We start from the raw sequence: 14873 nt of genomic DNA on the forward strand, positions 1-14873 counted from the left end.
AGGGCAGCGTCAGAGCACAAATTTGAGCCTCCAGGCTGTGCTCGTCTACGTCTTCCCGCCTCGGGTATGTGGTCTGCAAAATGGAGATGTGCCCTATTGGCAGGACTAATTAAGTGCCTGGACACAGACGACAGGATACTAGTAGCTGGAAAGCAAAATTCGAAGGCCTGGGTAGGGGCAGTCCTGGAATGCGGCGGGGGAGGGGGCGTGGCCTCTGCCCTGGAGCAGAGGGGCGGGGCTTGTGCGGCTCCGAAGGCAGAGGCGGGGAGCGGGGCGAGGCTCTGGGTGGAGGCTCCAGCGGCAGAACTTGTTGGCCTGGGTGCGGCGGGCTCCGGCGCCTGGCTCTGCCGGGCGGCCTGGGTGGGGCCGGCGCCGGGGCTCGGCCCCCCCCGCCCCTCTGCGGCCTCTGAGCAGCCATTGGCCGCGCCCCCGCCCCACTTCCCGCCCCGCCCCGCGTCCGGGAGGCACTTCCTTTGCGAAACCGCGCGGCCCCAGGCGCCGGCAGGAAATGCCCTCCCGCCGTCCCCAGCCAGCCTTTGCTTGCTTCCCACGCCAGCCGCTAGAGGCCTCCCTGTCCTCGCGGACGCAGGAACTCCCCGGGGGCTGGAAAGATGGGGCCCACCTCACTCACCCCTTTCCCGGGGGTCGGGCGTTTCTGGAGCCCCCACCGCACACACCCAGGGAAGAAGGGGGAAATGCCTCTCAGGTGTTGGTGCCTGCGCCCCAGCTCCACCTCCCCATCGTGTCTGCTCAACACCTTACCTCCTGAATCCAGCCCCCAGGCGGCCTCTTGGTGCCCCAGACGCTGATCGGTCCCCAAGTCTGTGTGAGGGGGAGTCAGCGCTGTGTGAAGCCGCCCTTTGTCCTCCTTCCACTACTTTTCTCTGGTAAAAAAGATTCAAGAAGCACCCTGGAAAAACCTGCAGTTACCCTAGTCTCAGTTTTGGCCTGGGCTGGACCACAAGAGCCCTTGGCTATATAAATTCACAGTCCTCTCCGGTCTCTGCCCTCATCCTCGGGTCCTGCTCTTATTTCCTGCTCTCCATGCAAACACTGATCCTCCCAGATGTGCATCGCAGAGGCCAGATAAACACGCAAAGGAGCTCCAGACTTTGAGACCACAGTGAGGCTTCCCCACCACCACCACCTACACACCCTGTACCCACATGAAGTTCAAGTCAACCACATGTATCGGGTGCGTACTGTGTGCCAGGCACCGTGCCAGGACCAGGCTGTGCCTCTGCTCTCAGGGAACTCACATCCTAGGGTGGAGAGAAAGAAACGTGAACAGATGGTCACTGCAATTCTGCAAATGCAGCACGGGAGAACCATGGAAGGCGGGTGAGGACAGGGGACACCTAGCCCTACTTGGGCAGCCCTGGAGGATTGGAAAACACTCCCTGCAGTAGCGAGGCTCAGAGGAGTTTGGAAATGAGGAAATGAGGCCGCAGAATGCAGGAGGGGGTAGATTATGCAGATCTATGGCCAGACCAAGGGAGTGGCCTTTCTTTTTTTCTTTTTTTTCTTTTCTTTTTTTTTTTTTTTTTTTTTTTTGAGACGAGGTCTCTGTCTCCCAGGCTAATGTGCAAAGGCATGATCATGGCTCACTGCAGCCTCAACCTCCTGGGCTCAGGCCATCCTCCCGCTTCAGCCTGTAGGAGTATTTGGGACTACAGGCATGCACCACCACGCCTGGCTAATTTTTAAATTTTTTTTTGTGGAGATGGGTTCTTACTATGTTGTCCAGGCTGGTCTGGAACTTCTAGGCTCAAGCGATCCTCCCACCTCAGCCTCTGAAAGTCCTGGGATTGCAGGTGTGAGCCACCGCGCCTGGCTGGGAGTAGCCTTTTTCTTGCAGGCAGAGGGTGCCTTTGAGGAACCCTGAGCAGGAGTGAGCTGTGCTGAAACCTGGCAGCTGCACGTTGGAAGCTAAATTAGGCGTACAAGGATACAAGACCCTATTGGGAGACCACAGGCGTGGTCCCAAACATGGAGGATGAAGACCTGAACTTAGGCAGAATAAAGAGGAAAGGAAGGGGCCGGGTGCAGTGGCTCACACCTGTAATCCCAGCACTTTGGGAGGCCGAGGCGGGCAGATTGCCTGAGCTCGGGAGTTCAAAACCAGCCTGGGCAAAATGGCGAAACCCCATCTCTACTACAAATTCAAAAAAAAAAAAAATTAGCCTGCCGTGGTGGCAGGCGCCTGTAATTCCAGCTACTCAGGAGGCTGAGGCAGGAGAACCACTTGAACCCGGGAGGCAGAGCTTGCAGTGAGCCGAGATCACACCACTGTACTCCAGCCTGGGCGACAGAGCAAGACTGTCTCAAAAAAGAGGAAAGGAAGGAGGGATGGATGTGACATAGGAGATAAACTTGGCAGGAAGAGGTGGCTAGCTGGCCCTGGGGGCAGGAGTGGAGGAGTTGGAGGAAGGTGATGTCTTCTGGCTTTGGAGATGTCAGATGTGAAAATGTCTCTACTAGAGCCTGGTGTGGGGCAGAGATTCCCTGTTTGCTTGTAACACACACACACACACACACAATCACTCCAGAGGATGTAGGGAAACAGGCCTGTAAACTGGTGCAACCTCCTTGGAAAGTGATTTGAGAATATCCATATGTATATAAAAATTTTTTTTTTTTTTTTGAGACAGAGTCTCGCTCTGTTGCCCAGGCTGGAGAGCAGTGACCTTCGTTTACTGCAACCTCCACCACATGGGTTCAAGCGATTCTCCTGCCTCAGCCTCCTGAGTAGCTGGGACTACAGGTGTCTACCATCACACCCGGCTAATTTTTTGTATTTTTAGTAGAGACAGGGTTTCACCATGTTGGCCAGGCTGGTCTCAAACTCAAACCTGACCTTCTGATCCACCCGCCTTGGCCTCCCAAAGCACCGGGATAACGGGTGTGAGCCACCGCACCTGGCCAAAAATATTTTTTTAATGCAGACAACTTTTTTTTTTTTTTTTGGATGGAGTCTCGCTCTGTCGCCCAGGCTGGAGTGCAGTGGCATGATCTCGGCTCACTGCAAGCTCTGCCTCCCGGGTTCTCGCCATTCTCCTGCCTCAGCCTCCCGGGTTCTCGCCATTCTCCTGCCTCAGCCTCCCGAGTAGCTGGGACTACAGGCACCCACCATCACGCCCAGCTAATTTTTTGTATTTTTAGTAGAGATGGGGTTTCACCATGTTAACCAAGATAGTCTCGATCTCCTGACCTCGTGATCCACCTGCCTCAGCCTCCCAAAGTGCTGGGATTACAGGCATGCGCCACTGGCCCATTGTATCATTTTTTAAAATTTGTTTTATTTAAAAAAAAATAGGTCCAGGTGCGGTGGCACATGCCTGTAATCCCACCACTTTGGGAGGCCGAGGCAGGTGGAACACCTGAAGTCAGGAGTTCAAGACCAGCCTGACTAATATGGTGAAACCCTGTCTCTACTAAATACAAAAAAAAAAAATTAGCTGAGTGTGGTGGCGCATTCCTGTAATCCCAGCTACTTCAGGAGGCTGAGGCAGGAGAATCGCTTGAAACCGGGTGGCAGAGGTTGCAGTGAGCGAAGATCCTGCCATTGCACTCCAGCCTAGGCAAAACAAGAGCGAAACACTGTCTCAAAAATAAATAAAATATAATAAAATAGAGACTGGGTCTCACTATGTTGCCCAGGCTGGTCTCGAACTTCTGGGCTCAAGTGATCCACCCACCTCAGCCTCCTAAAGTGCAATGATTACAGTCTTGAGCCACTGCACTCAGCCCATTGTATCATTTGTAATAGCAAAACACTTAAAATAATCTAAGTGTCCACCAATAAAGAACTGGTTAAATACATTTTGTTATTGAATACCATGTAGTCGTGAAAACTATGAGGAGGAACTATACAAGCTGATATAGAATGATCTCCAAGAGATACTGTTAAATGAAACAAGGCAAGATTCATAACAATGATGGTGTACTCCTATTAAGGCAAAATATAAAAATAGACGCAAATATAAATATATACTTTCACTTACTCTGAGAAGATAATTGTGGCTAATCTTGGGGAGTGAGGCTGGGGGAGTGAGATTCATCTAATGTATAAGAGACACATGTTATTACATATCTGTTTGTAATTTGAATTATTTTACCAGGTACATTTACTAAATTTTATTTTATTTACTTTTTTTTTTTGAGACAGAGTTTCACTCTTGTTGCCCAGGATGGAGTGCAGTGGTGCGATCTTGGCTCACTGCAACTTCTGCCTCCTGTGTTCAAGTGATTCTCCTGCCTCAGCCTCCCGAGTACTGGGATTACAGGCACCTGACACCACGCCCCGCTAATTTTTTGTATTTTTAGTAGAGGCGGGGTTTCACCATGTTGGCCAGGCTGGTCTCGAACTCCCAACCTCAGGTGACCTGCCTGCCTTGGCCTCCCAAAGTGCTGGGATTACAGGCATGAGCCACCACACTCCGCCTTATTCAATTTTAAAAATAAAAATAGGCTGGGCGTGGTGGCTCACACCTGTAATTCCAGCACTTTGGGAGGCCGAGGCAGGTGGATCACAAGAAGAATCGCTTGAACCTGGGAGACAGAGCAGAGCCAAGATCATGCCACTGCACTCCATCCTGAGCAACAGAGCAAGACTCCGTCTCAATAAAACCAAATAAATAAAAAATAAAAATAAAAAGAGTTCAAATTTAAAACACACTCACTCAGCTTCCTAAATATAATAGCCAAGATAGAAATAATAAATTCCGTCAGGCATGGTGGCTCACCCCTGTAATCCCAGCACTTTGGGAGGCCGAGGCAGGCAGATCACTTGAGGTCGGGAATTTGAGACCAGCCTGGCCAACATGGTGATACCCCGTCTCTACTAAAAATAACAAACATTAGCTGGGCGTTGTGGCACACGTCTGTAATCCCAGCTACTTAGGAACTGAGGCAAGAGAACCACTTGAACCCGGGCGGCGGAAGTTGCAGTGACCCGACATCGCGCCATTGCACTCCAACCTGAGTGACAGAGTGAGACCCTGTCTAAAAAAAAAAAAAAAGAAATCATAAGTTCCATTTCCATTTCTTTCCTTTAAATATTCATTGCATGCCTACTATGCACCAGGTTCCTGGGTGTAGCAGGGAGTAAAACACTGGGGTGAGACAGAGGGAGTAAAACACTGGGGGAGGGAGGGGTAATAGACATAAAAAGTAAGCCAGGTGCGGTGGCTCATGCCTGTAATCCCAGCACTTTGGGAGGCCCAGGTGGGCAGATTGCTTAAGCCCAGGAGTTCCATTCCAGCCTGGGCAACATGGCAAAACCCCATCTCTACAAAAAGTACAAAAAATTAGCTAGAGGTAGTGGCGAGAGCCTGTGGTCCCAGCTATTCTGGAGGCTGAGGTGGGAGGATTTCTTGAACCCAGGAGGTCAAGGCTGTAGTGAGCCCTGATTGCACCACTGCACTCCAGCTTGGGCAACAGAGTGAGACCTTGTCTGAAAAATAAAAATAAAAAGTAATTAATACTTCACTGTAAGATGAAGGAAAAGTTATTTAAAAATGAGTATTATAAAAGAAGTAGAAAGTGGTAAGTAAAAAATCAAAAACTTGTGCTGCCAAATTGTCACCCCAAGATGACTTCTTGTTTTTCTTTTCTCTTTTCTTTTCTTTTTCTTTTTCTTTTTTTTTTTTTGAGACAGGGTCTCGTTCTTTTGCCCAGTCTGGAGTGCAGTGGTGCAGTCTCGGCTTATTGCAACTTCCACCTCCCGGGTTCAAGCAATTTTCCTGGCCTCAGCCTCCCGAATAGCTGGGACTACAGGCACCTGCCACCACCCAGGCTAATTTTTGTATTTTTAGTAGAGACAGGGTTTCACCATGTTGGCCAGGCTAGTCTTGAACTCCTGGCCTCAAGTGATCCACCTGCCTTGGCATCCCAAAGTGCTGGGATTACAGGCATAAGCCACTGTGCCCAGCCTTGTGTTTTTTTGTTTTTGTTTTTGAGATGGAGTCTCGCTCTGTTGCCCAGGCTGGAGTGCAGTGGTACAATCTCGGCTCGCTGCAACTTCCGTCTCCCAGGTTCAACTGATTCTCGTGCCTCAGACTCCTGAGTAGCTGGGACTACAGGTGCGCCCCACCATGCCTGGCTAATTTTTGTATTTTTAGTAGAGATGGGGTTTCACCGTGTTGGCCAGGCTGCTCTCGAACTCCTGACTTCAAGTGATCTGCCCACCTCGGCCTCTCAAAGTTCTGGGATTACAGGTGTGAACCACCGCACTCGGCCCCAAGATGACTTCTAATTGTAAAGGGGGAGCTGTGCCTTTCCAATACAGAAGGGTATCTGTGGACATGGGTAGTTCACCAATCTAAAACAACAACAAACATAAGGGTATCTGCCTGGCACTGCTGTAACCAAGGGATCCACCTTTGCAACACTCATGCAGGGATGACTTGATATTATATATTCCTTCTGATGCCATGCAAAGTCAATACCTTTGAGCATGCTACTGAAAGAATGGTTCAACTGGGAAAATCACCTGGAAAGGCAAAATCACCTGGGAACTTGCTACTAATGCAGAATCTCAGCTCCCCTCCCCACCAGTTCTATTGAACCAGAATAGGTACTTTACAAAGATTTCTAGGTGATTCTTAACAACATTACAGTTTGAGAAGCACTGTTCTATGAAGTATTCTTGAAAAAAGAGTTTAGGCTGGGTGCAGTGGCTCACGCCTGTAATCCCAGCACTTTGGGAGGCAGAGGAGGGCGGAGCACCTGAGGTTGGGAGTTTGTGACCAGCCTGGCCAAGATGGTGAAACTCTGTCTCTACTAAAAATACCAAAAATTAGCTGGGTGTGGTGGCAGGCGCCTGTAATCCCAGCTACTTGGGAGGCTGAGGCAGGAGAATCGCTTGAGCCCAGGAGGCAGAGATTGCAATGAGCCGAGATAGTGCTACCGTACTCCAGCCTGGGTGACTGAGCGAGACTCTGTCTCAAAAAGAAAAAAAGAGTTTAACCAGGACCTACTAGTTGCACTTTCAGTTTGTGGGAAGTGCAGAAGGAAATGTAACAAATTAGATAATACCGTAAGGAAAGGCTCAGTTCCACAATGTGAACATTCTACAGGGCAACTGTCTTTGACTCAGGTAAGTCAATGTCATGGGGGGGAAATGTGAAAGAACTCTTCGAGATTAAAAAATACTGAAGACAAAATGTTCAGCATATACTACATGTAAAAAATACTGGGCGTGGTGGCTCATGCCTGTAATCCCAGCACTTTGGGAGGCCAAGGCAGGTGGATCACCTGAGGTCAGGAGTTCGAGACCAGCCTGGCCAGCATGGTGAAACCCCATCTCTACTGAAAATACAAAAATTAGCCAGGCATGGTGGCGGGTGCCTGTAATCCCAGCTACTTGAGAGGCTGAGGCAGAAGAATTGCTTGAACCCAGGAGGCAGAGGTTGCAGTGAGCCAAGATTGCGCCACTGCACTCCAGCCTGGGTAACAGGGCAAGACTCTGTCTCAAAAAATAATAATAAAAATAAATAAATAGGCCAAGTGCGGTGGCTCATGCCTGTAATCCCAGCACTTTGGGAGGCTGAGGCGGGCAGATCATGAGGTCAAGAGATCAAGACCATCCTGGCCGACATGGTAAAACTCCGTCTCTACTAAAAATACAAAAACGAGCTGGGCGTGATGGCACGCACCAGTAGTTCCAGCTACTGGGGAGGCTGAGGCAGGAGAATTGCTTGAACCTGGGAGGCAGAGGTTGTAGTGAGTCAAGATTGCACCACTGCATTCCAGCCTGGCAACAGAGCGAGACTCCATCTCAAAAAAAAAATAAATAAATAAAATTAAAATAAATAAAATTACTGTAGACAAAAGAAAAACACTGAAGAGATATAACAATAAAAGGAAATGGTTGGGGTGGGCATGGTGGCTCACACCTGTAATCCCAGCACTTTGGGAGGCCCAGGTGGGTGGATCACTTGAGGTAAGGAGTTCTAGACCAGCCTGGCCAACATGATGAAACCCTGTCTCTACTAAAAATACACAAACTAGCTGGGCATGGTGGTGCATGCCTGTAATCTCAGCTATTGTGGAGGCTGAGGCACGAGAATCGCTTGAACCTGGGAGGCGGAGGTTGCAGTGAGCCGAGATCGTGCCACTGCACTCCAGCCTGTGAGATACAGTCTTAACAAATAAATAAATAAACAATATGATAAATGTTAATGCTTAAGTCCATGTACTGTTATTTTCACTTTTCTATGTGTTTGACATTTATCATAACAAAGACATTGGAAACAATTTTTAAGAACATGTTCACCAAAAGATTCTCCCGGCTCAATTAAAAGGCAAGCAAGAAACTAGAGACAAGTATCACATAAATGGTAGGCAAATTACCAGCCTTAAGACATTAACTATATAAACAATCCCAACAAATTAATTAAAAACTCACAAGGGGAGACATAGCCAATAAATATAGTTTAAAATGGTCTGTCTCACTGATAATAAAAAAACATAAATCAACACAATGACTGTTTTCTTTTTTGTCAATCAAACTGATAGAGAGCTTCATCGATACTGTACCAGAGCACTGGGGAGAGGTGGAGATTCAGCCACTCATGTATTGCAGGCGGGACTATCCATTCATGCAGCTTTTTTGGAAGACAGTTTTCCTATTCACATCTTTGACTCAGCAATCTCACTTTTTTTTTTTTTTTTTTTTTTTTTTTGAGCCAGAGTCTTGCTCTGTTGCCCAAGCTGGAGTGCAGTGGCGCGATCTTGGCTCATTGCAACCTCCGCCTCCCGGGTTCATGCCATTCTCCTGCCTCAGCCTCCTGAGTAGCTGGGACTACAGGCACCCGCCACCACGCCCGGCTAATTTTTGTTTTGTTTTTTTTTTGTGTGTGTTTTTAGTAGAGACGGGGTTTCACCATGTTAGCCAGGATGGTTTTGAAACGATCTCCTGACCTCATGATCTGCCTGCCTCGGCCTCCCAAAGTGCTGGGATTACAGGCATGAGCCACCACGCCCGGCCTTACTTTTTTGAATCTATCCCAAAGAGATAGTGAATGTAATCTAATGGCAAATATTTAGCAATAAGAATATTTGCCACAACATTCTTTGTAGTATCAAATAATTGGATATAATTTGGAAGTCCAATAATGAGGTATTGGTTACATAAACTGTACTGTCTAATGAATTACTATAAAACAACTGAAAATGAAGTTGCTGGGTGCGGTGGCTCACACCTGTAATCCCAGCACTTTGGGAGGCCAAAGCAGGTGGATTGCTTGGGCCCAGGAGTTTGAGAGCAGCCTGGGCGACATAGTGGAAACTCTGTCTCTACCAAACAACAACAACAACAAAAATTAGCCAGATGTGGTGACGTGTGCCTGTGGTTCCAGCTACTTCTGAGGTGGGAGGATCATTGAGTCCAGGGAGGTCGAGGTTGCAGTGAGCCATAATCACACCAGTGTGCACTCCAGGCTGGGTGCCACAGCAAGACCCTGTCTCAAAAAAAAAAAAAAAAGAAATTGCAAAATAAGATATATCATATGACAGTTAAAAATATATGCACATAGGCCAGGCATGGTAGCTCACACCTATAATCCCAGCATTTTGGGAGGCTGAGTCAGGCAGATCACCTGAGGTCAGGGGTTCGAGAACAGCCTGGCCAACATGGTGAAACCCCGTCTCTACTAAAGATACAAAAATTAGTCGGGCATCATGGCGGGCACCTGTAATCCCAGCTAACTTGGGCAGCTGAGGCAGGATAATCACTTGAACCCAGGAGGCAGAGGTTGCAGTGAGCCAGGATTGCACCGCTGCACTCCAGCCTGGGTGACAGGGTGCGACTCCATCTCTCTCTCTCTCTCTCTCTCTCTCTCTCTCTCTCTCTCTCTCTCTCTCTCTATATATATATATATATATATATATATATATATATGAACATGCAGACAGACAGGTATCTACCTGTACTGGACAATGACTTGAAAGAAATATTCCAAAACAATTCAGTGACAGTGATTTATCTGGAGAATATCTCTATATTGAAAATATAGGTGAGTTTTTACCTTCCTTTTTCTTGTCCTTGTAATCGAGTGTATCTCTCTCTCTCTCTCTCTCTCTCTCTCTCTCTCTATATATATATATATATATATATATACTCCTTTTTATTCACAAGAAAGTGTTATTTTTTTCATAACCTGTGACATAGGAGGCAGGATTATATATTTTTATTTTTATATTTATATATGTGTATATTTTTCAAAACAGAGCCTCACTTCGTCACCCAGGCTGGAGGGCAGTGGCACAATCTCAGTTCACTGCAACCTCTGCCTCCCGGGTTCAAGCAATTATTGTGCTTCAGCCTCCCTTGTAGCGGGGATTACAGGTGTGCACCACCACACCCAGCGATTTTTTTTTTTAAAAGAAACAAAATAGCAACTCCAGTGTTTACTCCTCTTTCCAGACAACACATGAGCGTGTGCACACACATATAGTGCACACATGCCCACATGTGCGCAAACACACAGCAGTCTCCCTTTATCCACCAATTCAGGTACCTCATAGTCAACCATGTTCTGAAAATACTACATGGAAAATTCTAGAAATAAACCATTCATAAGTTTTAAATTACACAGTATTCTCAGTAGCGTGATGGGATCTCCCACCGCCCCACTCCATCCCACCTGAAACGTGAGTCATCCCTTTGTCCACTACCTCCACATGCTGCATGCTCCCTGATGGGCATTTAGCAGCCGTGTGGGCTATCAGATCCACTGTCATGGCATTGCAGGGCTTGTGTTCAAAGTAACCCTTATTGGGCCGGGCGCAGTGGCTCACGCCTGTAATCCCAGCACTTTGGGAGGCCTAGGTGGGCGGATCACTTGAGGTTAGGAGTTTGAGACCAGCCTGGCCAACATGGTGAAACCATGTCTCTGATAAAAATACAAGAAAAATTAGCTGGGTGTGGTGGTATGCACCTGTAGTCCAGCTACTCGGGAGGCTGAGATGGGAGAATTGCTTGAACCCAGGAGGCAGATGTTGCTGTGAGCCGAGATCATGCCATTGCACTCCAGCCTCGGTGACAGAGCGAGACTTCATCTCCAAAAAACAAAAATAAAGACAACCCCCCACCCAAAGTAACACTTATTTTACTAAATAATGCAAGAGTAGCGATGCTGGCAATTTGGAAGTGCCAAAAAGAAGCCATAAAATGTTTCCTTTAAATGAAAAGGTAATAGTTCTCAATAAGGAAAGAACAAAAAACATCATATACTGAGGTTGCTAAGATCTATGATAAGAATGCATCTTCTGTTCATGAAATTGTGAAGAAGGAAACAGAAATTTGTGTTAATTTTGCTGGTGTACCTCAAACTGCAAAATGCAGCCACAGTGCAGGATAAGTGCTAATGAAAATAGAAGGGGCTTCAATTTGTGGGTGGAAGACACGAACAGAAACATGCTCCAGCTGATGGCAGCCAGGTTCGGTACGATCCGAGGTTTTAAGGCATCCACTGCGGGTCCTGGAATGTATCCCCCGTTGGATAAGGGGGGGACTACTGTACATTTGGTCTCCAGAACTCTTGGGAGGCTGTGATGAGAAGGACGTACTGCCCTCACCCAGCCCACTTCACGTCACCCTCCTAAGGACCAGGCTTCACAGGTGATAGGAGAATTTCTGCAGTCTGGGAGGCAGCTGCCCAAGGTGCTGAGTTTGCGTGTGAAGCTGGTTTCTCAGCGAGATCCACGCTGGAGTTGGCTGCACAACTTTCCTGCCTGAGTGAGATGGATCCCCTAGGGTCAGGGGTCAGACATGGAAACCTTGGCTTCTGGGAGAGGGTAGCAGAACAGAGTTCAAAGGCACTGGTTTATGGCATCTCATAAAAACTCCAGGTGGGCCGGGTGCAGTGGCTCACGCCTGTAATCCCAGCACTTTGGGAGGCCGAGGTGGGCGGATCACGAGGTCAAGAGTTCAAGACCAGCCTGGCCGACATGGTGAAACCCCGTCTCTACTAAAAATACAAAAATTAGCTGGGCGTGGTGGTGTGCGGCTGTAATCCCAGCTACTCGGGAGGCTGAGGCAGGAGAATCACTTGAACCCAGGAGGCGGAGGATGCAGTGAGATGAGATCACGCCACTGCACTCCAGCCTGGGCGACAGAGACAGACTCCATCTCAGCAAAAAAAACGAAAACAAAAAAAACACTCCAGGTGGAGCCAGTGCCCCTAAGGGTGGAGAGGAGGAGCAGTTGTGCTCACTGGGGCCCTTGCTAAGTGAGGGTCATGCTGAGAAGAGACCTCTAGGAGACCTCTAAGAGACCTCCCATCTGTTCTGGAGGGGCCCTGAGTATAAGTCCCTGCATTCCTGGGTTTGGGGCTTCTGCAACCCTAGAGTCCTGCCTCTCTTTCTCCATGAACCATTCACCCCAGGGCAGGTGGGAGGACAGCTGAGCCTCCTTCTCTTGGTTGGTAGGAGGAAAGGTTCAGGCGCCGCTGACCCTACCTGGACAGTGCTGTCTGCCTGTGGTGAGGGCCTGGGCCCTGGGCAGAAAAGCACCCCATCCCTTGCTCACTCAGAAGCCAAGGGAGGGGCTGGGCGCCGGGCCTCACACCTGTAATCCCAGCACTTTGGGAGGTCGAGGCAGGTGGATCATTTGAGGTCAGGAGTTCAAGTCCAGCCTGGCCAACATGGTGAAACCCTGTCTCTGCTAAATATACAAAAATTAGCCAGGCATGGTGGCACATGTCTGTAGTCCCAGTTACTTGGGAAGCTGAGGCAGGAGAATCACTTGAACTTGGGAGGCGGAGGTTGCAGTGAGTCGAATTCATACCACTGCACTCCAGCCTGAATGACAGAGTGAGGCTCAAAAAAAAAAAAAAGCCAAGGGTGGGGCACATCAGCTCTCATTGTCAGGCTGTGGAGGGCTCTGGGCTCCCAGGGACCTGGCAGCACCTGCCTCCCCACCCCCTCACCTCTCTGGGGCCCTATCTTCCCTTATATGGTGAAGGCAGTTCCTAGAGGAGGGGGGGTGGGGACAAAGGTCGCTCTTCTGCAGCCAGCTTGCCACAATTCCCTGAGATCTCCCAGGTGGCAGCTGCCTCCCCAAGACAGGTAAGGCAACCTGGTGGGAACACATGGAGACCTTAGGTGGTGCGAGGGGACGGGGTCCTCTGCTTTTCTCGGGCAACTTGGGGCCTCCTGGAGCACCTTGGTACGGGCTCGAAGGGGAGGCTTGACACTCTGGATAGCGTGAGAAGTGCTGGGAGCCCAGTGTGTCTGCCCTGGGCCTCCAGGGAGAGACTTTTGCAGGCCCTGCCCCAGACAATGGCTCTCTCAGTCTCCTACCTGTGGCTAGCCCCATCCCACTTTGGGTGTCACCATCCCAATTGCCCTGGAACTTCTAGAGTTAAAACCAGGACAGTGCTGGGCAGACCGGGACTAGTTGGTCTCCCTGACCTCACTCCCCGAGCCCCCTCCCCACCAGCTCATCTCTTTGCCCGTGCGTTCTTCATCTGAAGTGTTTTTTTCTTTGTGTCACCATTCCTCTGACACTCCTGGGACCTCCGGGTCCTGCCTCCTGGCTCCTAGCATATGAGCAACAGCCACCAGCAATTGAATGGGCACACACAGAGGCAAGGGCAGAGGCAAGGGGCTGGAGGTGGCAGGGCCTTAGGTCCTGGGCCATGCCGGGCCACCCTAGCATGCACCTCTGCCCCATCTCCCCTCTACCCGGAGCTGCCCCATTGGCCTCCCCAGCCACTGTGGGCCCATTCAGCAGAACTAGGAATGGGAGCTAGCTGCAGACCAGGCTCTGAGGACACACTGGCTGCTGTCTTCTCGGGACATCATCTGCTGGGGCAGAGCCTTTGGGCTGGAGGGTCTTGGCGGGTGTCCATTCCCTCTTCTATCATGAGCCTGGGAAGCAGGAGGATGTCCTTTGTCTGAGGGGTGGGACTTCACCCCCACTGCCCCACCACATTCCTGTCCAGCTCAGAGCTGCACGACTGGGAACTAGGAGCCGTGGCAGCACCCCACTTACAACAGAGCCGCAACTCAAGTACAACAGGGCTCAGATAAGAAAGGCATGGTGGGCCAGGTGCAGAGCCTCATGCTTGGAATCCCAGCACTTTGGGAGGCCAAGTGGGGTGGATCACTTGAGGTCAGGACTTCAAGACCAGCCTGACCAACATAGTGAAACCCCGTTTCTACTAAAAATACATAATTAGCTGGGTGTGCTCGCGCACGCCTATAGTCCCAGCTACTCGGGAGGCTGAGGCACGAGAATCGCTTGAACCCAGGAGGCGGAGATGACAGTGAGCCAGAATTGCACCATTGCACTCCAGCCTGGGTGACAGAGTGAGACTCTGTCTCAAAAAAAAAAAAAAAAAAAGAAAAGAAAAAAAGAAAAAAGAAAGAAAGGCAAGATGGACCTGCAGACAGTGGGAGCCCAAACCCCTCCAGTGCCCTGGGAGGGTCCTCCTTCCATCCCACAGTTCAGCCTTTCAGCATCATGAGTATTTGTTTTTTTTTTTTTTGTTTTTTTTTTGAGAAGGAGTCTCACTCTTTCATCCAGGCTGGAGTGCAGTGGCGTGATCTCAGCTCACTGCAGGCTCCACCCCCTGGGTTCACGCCATTCTCCTGCCTCAGCCTCCCGCGTAGCTGGGACTACAGGCGCCCACCATCTCGCCCGGCTAATTTTTTGTATTTTTAGTAGAGACAGGGTTTCACCGTGTTAGCCAGGATGGTCTTGATCTCCTGACCTCGTGATCCGCCTGCCTCGGCCTCCCAAAGTGCTGGGATTACACGCGTGAGCCACCACGCCCAGCCCATGAGTATTTGTTGAGCACCTACTATGTGCTAGGAGCTGGGGGCTGCAAAGACAAACATATCTAGGTCTTGGAGCTCAGGGA

General features: G+C 49.6%; 1 protein-coding gene across 1 annotated transcript in view, besides 3 other annotated features; it reads left to right on the forward strand.

Annotated features, from left to right (window-relative positions):
- Nucleotides 95–474: a silencer, noted in NCBI's record as "silent region_12321". NCBI's record gives its function as "represses an Ori minimal core promoter by ATAC-STARR-seq in GM12878 lymphoblastoid cells {active_cell/tissue: GM12878}" and the evidence as "EXISTENCE:reporter gene assay evidence [ECO:0000049][PMID:35858748]".
- Nucleotides 585–794: an enhancer, noted in NCBI's record as "active region_17123". NCBI's record gives its function as "activates an Ori minimal core promoter by ATAC-STARR-seq in GM12878 lymphoblastoid cells {active_cell/tissue: GM12878}" and the evidence as "EXISTENCE:reporter gene assay evidence [ECO:0000049][PMID:35858748]".
- Nucleotides 825–974: an enhancer, noted in NCBI's record as "active region_17124". NCBI's record gives its function as "activates an Ori minimal core promoter by ATAC-STARR-seq in GM12878 lymphoblastoid cells {active_cell/tissue: GM12878}" and the evidence as "EXISTENCE:reporter gene assay evidence [ECO:0000049][PMID:35858748]".
- The window catches only part of VIL1 (villin 1), a 34173-nt gene continuing 32328 nt past the window's right edge, over nucleotides 13029–14873 (forward strand). The window contains exon 1 of the mRNA NM_007127.3: nucleotides 13029–13074. The gene's annotated coding sequence lies outside the window, so the exon portion shown is untranslated. The remainder of the gene's footprint in view (nucleotides 13075–14873) is intronic.

This window comes from Homo sapiens, chromosome 2, assembly GCF_000001405.40.
Source record: "Homo sapiens chromosome 2, GRCh38.p14 Primary Assembly".
Classification (NCBI taxonomy): Eukaryota; Metazoa; Chordata; class Mammalia; order Primates; family Hominidae; genus Homo; species Homo sapiens.